Source organism: Homo sapiens, chromosome Y, assembly GCF_000001405.40.
Source record: "Homo sapiens chromosome Y, GRCh38.p14 Primary Assembly".
In the NCBI taxonomy this organism is placed as follows: Eukaryota; Metazoa; Chordata; class Mammalia; order Primates; family Hominidae; genus Homo; species Homo sapiens.
Window position 1 is genome coordinate 26,193,574 of NC_000024.10, and position 14,260 is coordinate 26,207,833.

General features: G+C 37.1%; 1 pseudogene across 1 annotated transcript in view; it reads right to left on the reverse strand.

Moving 5' to 3' along the window:
• Window positions 1–294: 294 nt before the first annotated feature.
• Window positions 295–14,260, reverse strand: part of REREP2Y (arginine-glutamic acid dipeptide repeats pseudogene 2 Y-linked) — a 41,507-nt pseudogene continuing 27,541 nt past the window's right edge. Inside the window, exon 3 of the transcript XR_938673.3 lies at window positions 295–4,884. The product of XR_938673.3 is annotated as an arginine-glutamic acid dipeptide repeats pseudogene 2 Y-linked (transcript). The remainder of the gene's footprint in view (window positions 4,885–14,260) is intronic.

A 14,260-nucleotide genomic window follows, 5' to 3' on the forward strand; every position in this document is an offset into this window, starting at 1 on the left:
AAAATATGGAATTTATATTCTTATGCAAATTGTGTAATATATAGATTTAAATGTAATTACAAGATGTTTTACCAAAACTACATGATTGAGATAAATTAAAAATTATTTAATAATAGGAGAAATATAACATGTTCACAGATTAAAAGCAATATTTTTAAGATTTAAAATTTTCCTAAATTTACCTATAGATTCAATACACTCTCAACCAACATCTCCCCATTTGCCTGTATTATTAGTAAAGTTCATCTCATACATGAGATACCATCTTGGATAAGAAAAGAAAGAAGTGAAATGAGAAAACTCAGCATTTGAGTGTTGTGCTTAAGTGACTATTTTTGTTATTGCATTGAACTAAGACAACTTGATTTCTTTTTTATTTTTAATTTTTTGTTAATACACAGTCATTGTTATGTATTTACTTGATTTATTGAATACAATTTTTCCCTATCTTGAGGTTCGAGATGCTCAGGAGGAACATCAGGTAACTTGAAGACATAATAAAGAAGTTAACGATTTATTTATACCTCTGAGTATAATGCAGATACATGTAAGACTTCATATAAAGTTCTTAAAACATAGATCTAATTTGCTTATAAAAAGTTGCACCATTTTTAATCTTTTTAATATCAGTGCTCAATTCATCATCATTCTTCATTTTGGGTATTTCTATTATAAAATTTTATTGACTTTAATTTGGGCATGGAAACACTAGAACAATATCATAAATTATATGTCATCATGCATTCCACTATCTCATGAGAAATCGTTAGAAATGAAGTGCAGTGCATAAACAAATTTATTTAATATGTTATTTTCATTTATTTAAGTGTTTAGATCCAGATTAAAATTGATGAATATAAGCAAGAATCCAAGACAAGAATGCAAAGTTTTGACCAATGGATGAACATTGCTAACATTTTAATCTTTATTATTTTGAGATAAAAATCACGTGTTTTAGATTTGTAACCTCCGTAATTTGTAAACAGTCATGTGTGTGTTGATGTCTGTCTATCATTTATCTATATATGTAACTTAACAATAAAACTATAGATAAAAGAACTGAACTTTATATTATCTTTGCAGTAAGTAATATTTTCCTGGTCATTATAGGCTTTATTAGTCCATTTCATACACTATGATTTCACAGTAATATGCAAAAAATATTTCTTAATAAACTACATTATTAATCAGCTATATACCTGAACACAAAGTTTGAGATAAGGACCAAATATAGCCATTTTTAATAAAATAGTCCAAGGCATCACAATATTCTATGTTCTAATGAGAACCATAGCTACTGTGGATTTAAAATTATTTTTAATTGCAAATATAAAGTATTTTTGAAGCTAATTAACTTCTGTTGTTTCCTAGAGACAAGATATCTTATCCCTTTTGCTTAGCAGGTGTGTCTATATCTTAGAGAAGAATTTAGCTGAGGTTGTGTTTGATTAGATTGATTAAATATGCATTTTACTCCATAAAGACAATTTTTATGTGTATTAGTTGGATACCTATTTCTAAAAACATAGAACTTTTCTTTATTTCATGCTGTTTGCTCCTGTATGCCAGGGATTTCAATAGGGAAACTAGCTGTCTTCTTGAAAATGTGAATATATTCCTAAACATGTTCACTACCTCATCTATGATATTTTGCACCGAGTCAATGCATTGCCCATTTCTTTGTGCACAGATTTTTTTTTTTAAATGGAGTTTCGATCCCATGGTGCAGGCTGGAGTGCACTGGTACAATCTCGGCTCACCACAACCTCCACCTCCCAGGTTCAAGCAACTCTCCTGCCTCAGCCTCCCGAGTAGTTGGGATTACAGGCATGTGCCACCACACCCGGCTAATTTTTCTATTTGTAGTAGAGATGGGGTTTCCCCATTTTGGCCATGCTTTTCTCAAACTCCTGACCTCAGGTGATCCACCTGCCTCGGCCTCCCAAAGTGCTAGGATTACAGGCATGAGCCACCGCACCCAGCCAAAAAAAATTCTGTTTTCACATTTAGCTCATACTGTCCATACAGTTTCTCTTCTTCTTGCCTTCTCTACTCAAGAGTTATGTATCTCTTCATCTTTCTGTAAAAATCATTTTAAATCTTTCTTCTTCATCTCCTATGTCATCTCTTCTCTGATAGAAATAATTGTCTTCTGCTGTATTTAATCTCTTTCTCCATTCAACCTTCATACTACTACTATACCTCTGTATCTCATAGCACCATTCACTTTCTATTTTCTAGCATAGTTAATCAACTTTACAAACATTCCTTGAGGGAGGGATATTTAGTTTATTTATTTTTTTCTCCCACAAAACTAATACAATAGTTTATGTGCAATTGGTGCTCAATAAACACTTAAAATGAGTTATTTATTCAGGAGACAGAACACTAATAAATAAGAAATACTAAATAAATTGTTCAACGAATAAATGAAGTTTACTTTCCCTTTAAGCTTTTTAACCAAAGGTCATGGATATATTCTGAGTTCTTAGTTCGAAATACAAGAATCTAGTCTGATTAGATTAGACAAAATAATAATAATAAAGTACATAATCTCACAGAATCTCTGAAAAGGCTAGAGAGCCCTAGTTCCCTTAACAGGAGCAAAGCCTGAGCATACAGCAGATGCTGATATATGGAAAATACCATCCATCTCTACCAACTGCTCAGCACTCATGAGATGCAAAGCAGGATCACAAGTCTCTGTTAATGTCATCCCTTAGGCTGAACACATTTTAGCTAAATTCTACAGAATTAATGTGTGTATCTTCCTAGCACCCACTGTGAATACCTCTCCTTCAAAAATCTATTGCTTGTGAAAAACCAGGTATGTTTAGCAAGTCATGAAACAACTGTAGTCATTCATTAGTGGTCACAGACTCACATTTAAGCATAACTTTAAAGGTGTCATAGACCTGACACTTATTGTTCTGAATCAACATTGATCTCATGAAGATGAACTGGAGGTTGAAAGCCTGCAATTACCCACCAGCTAGGTACACCATTATTAGGAATGGGAATATACTAATTTGTCCCATAAGATATCAGTCTTTCTCTGGGAATTAAAATTAGACTTTTGTCTACACTACACTGGGTTCTGTCTTCCACCGTAAGACAGAGAATTCCAAGGTTTCCATAATGTGAAACCCCCACCCCTTTTTATGATATGACCCTTGAGTAATTACATCAGCAAATATGTAAATGTGTTATGCTGTTCCAACAATTACTCCTGATTTGGTTACAATTATCTATATATCATCTCTACTGTCTTGGTCCTCTTCATCTTACCCACGAATGGCAGCCCTAGCCTCCTACTTGGAGCTTTCACCATCTTTCCCCCTTCCACACTGCAAACTGCCACAGTCAGTCTTCTTAAGCAGTGGTCTGCAAGATGGCTCATCTCGAATAAAAAAGCTTACACAAGCTCTCTACTGCCTATTACACAAAATCTTAACTTTGCTAACTTTGAAGATTCTCTATAATCTAGCCCCATTTTATATCTCCACATCTGCCTCCCAAAATCCACTAACCCATGCTCTTCAGTGACGTCCTGCGGGTCATCTTCTCACAACTCCCAGACTCGTCAGCCTCACTGCCTGTGTTGCTTATAAGGACAGGCTGCCAGGTACACCTGCAAGGCTCCTATACTCTGCCTATCCACTTCTTATTGATGTGTGAAAAACATACCCAGCTCCTCAAAACCTACCCACCTTCACAGAACTTCCCCAAGTGCCACATCCCATCTGGAGCACTTTCTTTTCTTCACCCCAAGATATTAATATTCTGCACTGCAACTGAACAATTCACTGTATATTGACAGTATGCTGCATTGTGTGTGTCTAAGTGTGAGAGAGCTTGCTATCCTCTTGTATTATTTGCTAATTCAGTATGAACTGGGGAGCCACAGTCACTTCTTCACACTGACTTCAATGCTTAACTAAAACTACACTTCTTTCATGTTAACCCAGTAGTCATTCGGAATAATAAATACTCGACTTTCAGAAAACATTACCATTAAGTCCTCCATTAAGTCCTACGATTACAGGAAAAAAAAGGAAGACAAGTGTGAACTTTCCTAAAAAGGGAGATGCACTACACAATAATAACCCCTATGATCACCCACATGGGTTCCTGTGCTTTAAGGGATAAAGCACTACAGATACTTCATCCTGCTGCCTCTTACACATCCCTCAGGACCACCACTAGTAACAGAGGAATAACCAAGGGATAGCTCTTAAGAAGTATAGCTACAGCCCGACCCAAGCCTCTTGAAGTGCGTATTCTGCATCTAGCACTGGAGAAAAGCCTCGCTATTTCTGAGCAACACCCTACAAAATGTCACCCGAGAGGACAACACCCAAAATAGTTTAGATTTGTGGGTCATGAGTCCCAATGAGCCTGGGGAAATTCACATTCCACACTTGAACTCAAACTTACCCCCTTTTCTCCCCATTTCAGTTGCCAACATCCAAACTCGCTGTTGATTGCCAGCTCCTGCTCCTTGCAGCAGCCCAGCATGCTCTCTGCTGGTGCCAAAATACCCTTCCACCAAACCCCGCTAACTTCTGGAACTGTCCTAGAGGGGTAAGGCAAGTCCCGTATTTTGCTTCCTCTGTGCATGTACTTGTTACTCCTTTAAAAACACATATAATACAGCACATTTTAAAAAGGGGCTCTGGGGAGGGACATAATATTCCTATTTTATACCCTATGGGATATAAAATACTGATAGCTTTTAAAAACGGGATTCTCCTTACCCCTACAGGCCCTCTCCTAGCTTCAGAAAGATGCTGTGGTGACTGTGATGCCACCGGCAGAGAGCATGCTGCGGGGGTCACACAAAGCAGGAGTTGGAGATCTGCAACAGGCTTGGGAGTTGTGGACCTAAAAAAGAAAACAGTTTTAAGTTAACGTGCCCAATGCCCCATCATGCCCTGGGGCACGCAGCACACAAGTCGGTATCTGCAAAAACTCTTTAGCAGATGACCTCTGAAACCTCAGATAATTTGTTCTACCACTAAGTTAACCTTTTTGCATTAATCAAAGCTGTTACCTTATTTCAGTGTGAACAAACGTATGACCCTTCTGGCTCCACACTTTAATCCAGGTCCTATCATAAAGCAGTATGGTGTGTGCCCCTCAAAATAACCAAGTTAAGATGTGAGATAGTGCCAAAGCACAGTTAACAGCAACATGCTATGCTTATAATAAAAACAGAAATGCTATGACGTCAGATAAACACAACCGTAAAATGAATCACAAGTGGACAAACTGAGCTTTCAGAAGAGTTTCTAATGACAGAAGCTAGAGACATAAGACATGTACTTAATAAGGAAATAGGGCATTTGGGTGGTGAAAGGCCCTGCCATTTTCTGAAAGTTCAAGTTTAACTGCATAAAGCTGAAGGCAAAGTAAATAGACAAAGGCCCCAAAACAGAGGGAAAAAGACAACATTCACATGAGTTGTAATTTTCTCCAAACGCCCACAAGGTGAGTATAATGAACAGGCACAGACCATAAAGTTCCAGAAAGACATTACTTATTTTTATAGGCAAAACTAGTTTAGTATGTATCACGTCTTTTTTAAAATTAACTTTGAAAACATTTAAAAACCAGGAAGAAAAAGACTATAGAGCAACTTCTGAAAGCTAGCACAGTATACCTCAGATAACAGTTTGCGTATGTTCCTTTTCAAATATTTTAGAGAGCACATAACATTTTTTAAACCAATTTCATGTGGTTTCAAATGAACTAAAAAAATCCATAAAATCCCAATACTTATATAAGAACCTGTCTTACGGTTGTCTAAAAATTACAGGTGAGCAACCTTTTAATATTAAATCATTACTAGGGTGTCCTGTTACATATAATTCCCTTTGAAAAGCAAGAGTAATTAACAACTTTCTGTAAACAAAGATTTTAATATATTTCATTCACTATTTTTGTAAGTCTCTTAAGCTCCCTACACATACACACACACACACACACACACACACACACACACACACAAAACAAATACCAGGAGAATAAGCTAATGTTCAGAATGTTTTATCGTGATCATTTTCTTTTCTTTTACTAAAGATGACCATCTAGAGTACATCCTAGGATCTACATTAAAATTTGTGTGCAGTCAGTCTCTGATTCTCATGGCCTCAGTGATGGTATAGCTGACAGAGTGTCAGTAGCCACAACCTTCTCACCACACACCTTCTCCCCGTCATCACCAACACTGCAAACTCCAAATTAAAGATTCAATTGTGCACTTGAATGTACAGCATATTCAGTATTTTTTGCCAGAAGCATCAAAATAAAAATGGACTTCTGGATAATCTCTTCCACTAGGAATATGACTGCCCAAACCACCTAAATCCTTACATTCAAATTAAGGTTTTAAATCAAAAACACCTGGTAAAGCATTTCCAAACACTTTGGCATTATCTTAAACATGCAAATAGTTCAAGTAATTATTAAAACATTTTATGCATTTTAAAAAGGCATTTTTTTTCAAAACAAGTCATTGTTCTCACATACAAATGAGAAAATGTTGACAGTATCTGTTTCCCTAAGTTTTTTTAGTACTTCTAATAGGTTTTTCTTGGACTACTGAGTTGGTTCTTAATGCAAGCATCCATATATACATACAAATTACAAATTTCCAATTGAAAAGAATTAAGTTTGAACAAGACTTTACCAATATTCTTGCATAGTAGATGGCTGCAAATATCAGATTGTCTCAACCTTTCTTAAGCTCCTTTAAAATTAGAATAGAGTTTTCTGCATTGAAAACAATTTCACGTATAGTTAACAGTTTTAGTAAATAACATTTTCAGAAATATATTTTATGGAAATACATATAATTAAACGAAATTTTTTCAATAGTTTCTTAGAGTCCCTTGACCCAAGTAAATTAGAAGAAAATGAATTATTCAACCTCACAATAGTAGTTAAACACTAAAACTTAAAATCCCAAGTGCCCTACCCTGACTGGCAGCCACAAGTGAAGACAAATTGCTGGGAAGCTCAGAAAATGTGGCCAATAAAATGCTGGAATTATTTATTCCCAAGCCCTCATTTTGATTTCCACTTATGTTAATACCACCCTGTCCATTTAGAGGTTGACATCAGTATCATGCAAAAAGGATGTGGTGGTTCAAAAAACTTTCAATGTCATTACTCTACAATTGTGGCGGGAGGGGAGTATAGATATACAACCTCCTCTGACTCAGTCCACCAAACTCAGGGCTAAAGAATTCCATCTTGCTTGATGCAGTGGCTCATGCCTGTAATCCTGACACTTTGGGAGGTCGAGGTGGGTGGATCACGAGGTCAGGAGTTCAAGACCAGCCTGGCCAACATAGTGAAACCCCGTCTCTACTAAGAATACAAAAACATAGCTGGGGGTGGTGGCAGGTGTCCGTAATTCCAGCTACTTGGGAGGCTGAGGCAGGAGAATCGCTTGAACCCGGAGGCGGAGGTTGGAAAGAGCTGAGATCACGCCACTGAACTCCAGCCTGGGTGACAAGAGGGAAACTCTGTCTCCAAAAAAGAATTCCATCCCGCCTCTTGCCTCGTTAAAGAATTAAACAAAATTAGAAATCGCAAATTTATATGTGAAAAGGCCACTTGGTCCTTGGATATAATAGCTGAAAATACTTGATAATGAACTTCAATGTAAAGTTTTTACTTCATTGTCCGACACTACACAACAAGTCACAAAGGCGTAACTGGGTGATACTGACCTTTTTGTATGGTACAAGCCAAGAAAGTAAAGAGAAGAAGGAGTTATAGAAAGAAATACTCAGTTTTGCAGGCCTACCTTGAAGGACTGTCAAAAACAAAAACAGAAACAAATCATCATAGCGTAAGGCATTTTTCATAACAGTTGGCCTTTTCTGGGAGGTTCACACATATACTAGGCCCTCATTTATCTTTGCTGAAAGTCAGTCCTATGGAAAACCCAAAACAATATAATGATGCCTAAAAAATATTATGACTTAGGCTACATTCATTCAAATTCGTGAAGAAAAGAAGAAACTGAATTTTCCTCAAGTATTTTAAAAGAAATAAAGTTTTATTAGTTCTATACATTACGCACTGCAGGCTAACCAAAGGTAATTGAGTAGACTTCTTTGGCTTGTTTAAGAGAATGTTAATTTGTTGTTGATGCACTGTATCAAACAACTATTACTAAAGTTTTTTAAAAATACTTATCCAGTGAATTTATTCCACTTAAATGTTACTTCATTCAGTATTCACTAAATACTTACTGTGGACAATACAGCCAGCCAATGTGATAAGCACACAATATATACATCAGTGAATAAAAAGCATAAACCTAAGGTACCAACTAAACAACAACATCACAATCAGTGTCACTCTATGGGGCACTGGACACTTTGTAAGTTTGACCTTTTAATCTAAAAACAATCTACTTGGCAAGGTAGGTACTTTATATCCCAACTTCACAGGTAACTAAAGAAAGTTAAGAGGGTTAAGTGTATTTCCCAAGGTCAGGAAAGATGGCAACTGATGGACGGAGTACGTGAACTCAGACAACCTGATGTCGAAGTCCGAGCTCTGAACCTGGGCAATCTACCATCCCTCATCTCAATCCCAGAATAACAGATCCTAAATTCTGAATTAGCCATGTTCAAATTATGTGGACCTTCCTGCCCACCCCCCGCAACCAAAAAAGGGCTCCAATGCAAGATTTACCTCCTTTTAAACGAATGCCCATTCCATGAATGTCCATACAGTACGCCTTCTGTGTTAAGTGGTAACAGCCACGCTGGGATTAAAGAAATGCGGTAGATAATGTGTAAGTCTGATAATTAAGTCACTGTGTGTACACTTGAATGTGTGCACAAAAGGTATGGGTAATTAAGTCGCTATCTGATATCTCCCAGCATCATCTATGGTTCTAATAAGAAAAGAAGACATAATTACTCATCCTCAGTAAGTTTTTATTAAAAAGGAGGAGAAATAGCTTCTTGTTACTTTTAATCCATTTTTAGGAAAATAAATTTGGTGGAGGGTGGGCAATCTCAATGGCAAGTGGAACCTAAGATGAAGTTAATTTCTCTTCAGCCCTTCTGCTGCTGTACTGTCGGGGAAGGCATGAATAAAGGGTAGTGAGTAGCAAACAACTTATGAGTACAGACCAGGAATCAGAGAGAAATTCCAGGTGTTTTTCCTCCAGCTGGTCACATTTGACAATGAAACAATGAGAGGGATATGGTATTAAACGATAAATAACTTGGCCCCCACATTCACAGCAATAATGGAATTGTGCATTCTCCAAGGTAACTAGTAGTATGCATCCTTAGCTATTCCACATTCAGAACTAGCACTTAGAAAGTAGGCTGTTAGGGACACAAATGATACAGCGACATTATCATCTATGTGGAGCCATAACAATATGTCGAGCCCAGCTAACCATCACCTGAAACACTTTAACATCCCTATCACCCCCAACTCTAAGGAATCTCTGTTATCTGGCTTAACTTTAAGGACAATTTTCCAAGTTTTAATAAAACAGCTGAGGAACCAAAATGAATCAATGTTATTAACCCAAAATAGTACTTATAGCTACATATACTACCTAGAAACTCATTTGGTATAAGTAACAGCTGAAACACCTATGTAACTTTAGGAAACCAAAAGCACGTTTTCCTCTACTGTATGAATGACGGCAATGCAAGAATACACACTGAATTTCCATGGAGAATATTACAGGAGTGAGTTTGCTTACTTATCTGTGAATAAAGAAAGGTACTAACTGCTACAAGGAACCACTTACTATACAAGGAACTCCTCAGTGTTATACTGAATGAAAATTACTGTCTCCATGACCTTGTTAGCATTCTCAGACTCCATGATTATTTCCAGATGGCAAATTATTTGTATTATACTTCTTAATGCCTGGGTTTCTATAAAAATATGATTTTATTGTTTTTCATAAACACACAAAAGAAATCATTTCTTTTAGAACTAAAAGTGAATGCCCTTCTTGTCAATCCTATTCAGAATGTTCTCCAAAGAAGACTGACATCCAATAATGCCACAAGTTGTCTGTCACTTAGAATCTAAGATCACTGAGAGAATGAACAATATTTTATACTTCTTCAGTCTCCCTTTAGGTGCTGAGTTCCATAAAGAACACAAAGTAGGTATTCAGTAAATGCCCCTGATTATAGCCCAAAACATTCCTATTTGCACTCTGTGATATAATGCTCCTCAATGATATTGACTTATTCAGAACAAAACCCTCAAAGTAACTAAGTCACATGGTGACCTATAAAAGCTATGGGAGGGCAGCAGAAGGGTTGGAGATGTTAACCTAGGCTCTTTCCATTGCAATTGATGAAGATCCACTCAAGCTAGCCCAGATGAGAGCTCTCTACTCAGAGCGAACAGGATAATCTAAGAATCCTGTGGGAAGAACATCAGTGCAGTGGGACCCAGGGGAGTCAAGGAAGAGACGGCTGTGCACACACTTCCCTTGGCAGTCTGCTGCCCTTCCCACAGCTTCCCTGTCCTCTGCTTTTCCCAGTTTCCTACCCTAGCAAGTGAGCTTGCCTATGTCAGCCCTAACCTTGCTCTTGTCATTCAGGTAATTCTTTTTTTATTTTTAATTTTTACAGATATATTAGGGGTAATTCTTGAATTATCCATTCACCTTTCCCCTCTACTAACTGCCTCAGTCTCTCAGTTTCTCAACTCTAAATTCTAAAAATGAAATTTGGCTCAATTAATCTTTTCATGCCAGGCCACAAGGATCACAGACTGCCATTCCAAATTATTAGTCCTTCAAAAAGCTAAATAAAGACTTTGCCAGCTATTTTACTATATAGTTCAGAAATCTACGGTGCAAAGCGACCTTTTTAATCAACAATACTTCTTTCTCCTGCTTCTAAGTATGCACTGTCCATAATTCTACCCAGCCTCTTCTGCTCACCTGAGCTCCTGCTTTTGACTAGTTGTTCCATAAATACTTTGGTCAGCGCATTTAAACAAAATCAGACATCTCCGTTTGTAAATAAGCCCAATCAAATGAATACTTCCTAAGAGAATGAAAGCTTCCTAATAGAATACATAATTCCTACCTTTAAAACCTCAGCTCAGTTAGGAACTTAGTTGCTTGATACTATCATAGCCTCCACGTACCCTGTGGAAGTACGGGCTCAAAATACACCTACTAGTGTAGGATGGTGGTGTCCCTGTGTGTTTTGATGGTTGAATATTAATAAAGCAGAAGCCATGGACCCTATCCCCGTAGGCAAGATAACCACACAACCTCACAACCTATCATCCACACTCAGACATTTTTGAGAGTGAAAGGGGAGGCTGTTTAATAGTCTGGCAGGACAACAGACAGGGATCAGGACATAGAGGCAGCTGTGTTCTATACCACAGACTCGATTCTAAGGGAATGCAGCAGCAGAGTTGAGAAGACAACCCAGGTCCCCACATAAAACACAAAGACCCTTCTCCTTATCTCATATAGAGCTATTTCATGAAATGTGACCTAAGGCCCTCGGTTCAATAAGCTGCCATTATTCTAGTCTCAGTGACTGGCGGTACATGTCTCCTCCTCCCCACGCCTCACCTCATTAGCTTTTGTTGTCTTTAACATCGTAATCATACCTACTAATGTGTATCATAAAGGGCATTCACCCAGTTATTTTTACAGTGCCCAAACATACTTTATACACAAAATTTCACCACGGCAAAGGGATTCTCATTTATAGTATAAACAATGAAACACGTCTCTCAATTATAACCCCAAACCAACTTTTTATTTTGTGATTATTAAAAAGATAAAATACCTAATTACTCAACATTTCAAAGCTATCGGGTTTTTTTTTCTTTCATTGCTCCACTAGTCATGTTATTTGCTGTGAGCAAAATCAAATTCAATTTCTTCTTCTTTTTAAAATCTCACAGAGAAACAAAGCTTATTTCCTTCTGCTCATCTTTTTCCCTTACAGCTTCAGTAAACTGAAGGAGAAAAAAATCTTGATCATTCTCATCTATTTGATTATCTTTTAATAAGTACAGAGAAGTAAGAAAATAAGACAGTGGAAATAACTATATTTATTCCCAGAGCAAATATTTCATCATCTGTTGTTCTTACACAACAACTATGAGGATGTGCTGAATACAGAACCTCAAACAAAAACATGAGAAACAGCAGTGTGTGATTTAGAAAAAGGTATCTAAACATACTGCACCCTACTTCCCACATATTTTTGTAGATAGCTTTAATGTGTTGTATTAGACCAATACTGACAACAGAAGCTTCAGCTTCTATTGCTGTTAACACCCTGAGCAATTACCGTAACTCAGCAGGAACCTCTGCCCAGAACAGCAACTATCACATTGTAATCAGCATTTCATAAGAGATGCTGTTCAAACAGGAAGGCACCTGTTAATGTGCAAAAACTGTACAAAGGGGGCTCAAGATCTAATAGGTAAAATAAAAATATTTACAATTTTATTTCACAGCTATATATTTTTCATGGTGCACTGATGTTTGGTTTTGTGAAAATCACACACAAAGACAATGGGCAGGAAAAGGGCAGTAGCAGCAGCCACTACCAAAACAAAACTCTTCAGGAATAAGGCTATACCCGTATTTCAGGTGTCAGTGCTGTATCTGTTAAAAAAAAAAAAAAAAACACTTTGGAAGGAAAGATATAATAAGTAGCAAAGACCTCTAAAAATGGTTTTAAAAAATTCATATAGACATAAAAATTGGATAGAAAGCATTTGATTTACAAGATTAAACTGCAAGGCCGCCTTGCAATGCAACCAGGAAAGTTAAAAGTCACCTATCAAGAATAGATCCATCTTATAAGTAAATAGCACATTTGACTTCATCTTAAAACAGTAGGCATGCAATAACTTAAGCAATAACTTTTTAACAAAGAAAAATAATGTGACTTTTTTTTTTTTACTGAATATACTAATTTGGTACTTGGGCCATTAAAAATGATAAAAAACAAAGGAGATGCAGAGAAAGATCTTTTCAAACTACATTTCTTTAGACTGAAATATCACATACAACATAGTCAAAACAAATATTGTCAAATTACAAAGGGTGTTGGAAATAAGAGCATTCACAGATAGTGATACACATCTCTACAAAGCTAAGGAATTAGGAATTCTCTACCCTTAAGAGTACAGACAGTGGTTCACAATCTTCAAAGTACTAGGGTCCCTTGTAAGATCAAAATGTTTCAAAAGACTCCCAAATGATACTACTTCAGTAGTATTTCAAATACCAATTGTTTGAGGAAAATAACAAACAAACAGTGGTTCCTGCCAGGCATGGTAGCTCACGTTTGTAATCCCAGCACTTTGGGAGGCCAAAGCAGGCAAATCACTTGAGGTCAGAAGTTGGAGACGAGCCTGGCCAACATGGTGAAACCCTGTTCTCTGCTAAAAATACAAACCCTGTTCTCTGCTAAAAATACAAAATATAAAAATAACAGCTGGTTGTACTGGCATGCACCTGTAATCCCAGTTACTCGGGAGGCTGAGGCAGGAGAATCACTTGTTTCCGGGAGGCAGAGGCTGCGGTGAGCCAAGACTGCACCACTGCACTCCAGCCTGGGTGACAGAGCAAGACTCTGTCTCAAACAACAACAACAACAACAAATAGTGGTTCTTAACTGTGTATTGCTTTTAAATAAGTGAAATTTTTAAAAATCATAAAAGCATACTGAAAACAGGCTGAAAAATCATTGTCCAGACATGTGAGATCAATTCATTTACATCAAGCTTAGCATGTTTATTTGCAGACCTCTGCCAAATCTCTGCAGACATCCAGGGATCCAAAGCCTAAAATATGAGAACCACTGGCCCTAAAAAAGCGATTTCATAATGAGGAACATCAACACTTATATATTCAGGAAGAATTTTTAACGAGAAAGTACAGCAGCTATGTCCTCAGTTCTGCAACACATGCACTAAAACTGGAAAGAAAGTACAACAGCTTTACCATGCCCAAGCCAGACTTCTTTCAACCGCTACCCCGGGAAACCCCCACAACAATTTCAACATATACTCCACACCTACCGAAATATTGAAGGAAGTGACAGATTTCCACTGGAAACTATTCTCTGACCCATTTATATTATTTCCCCTACTCATCAATTTACTGAATTTACTTTACTTTAGGCTCTTAACAATGGCTAAGAAGAAACAACCTACTTCAGAAATTCAAGGGACTATCTGAAATTGTCAAAACAGTTAC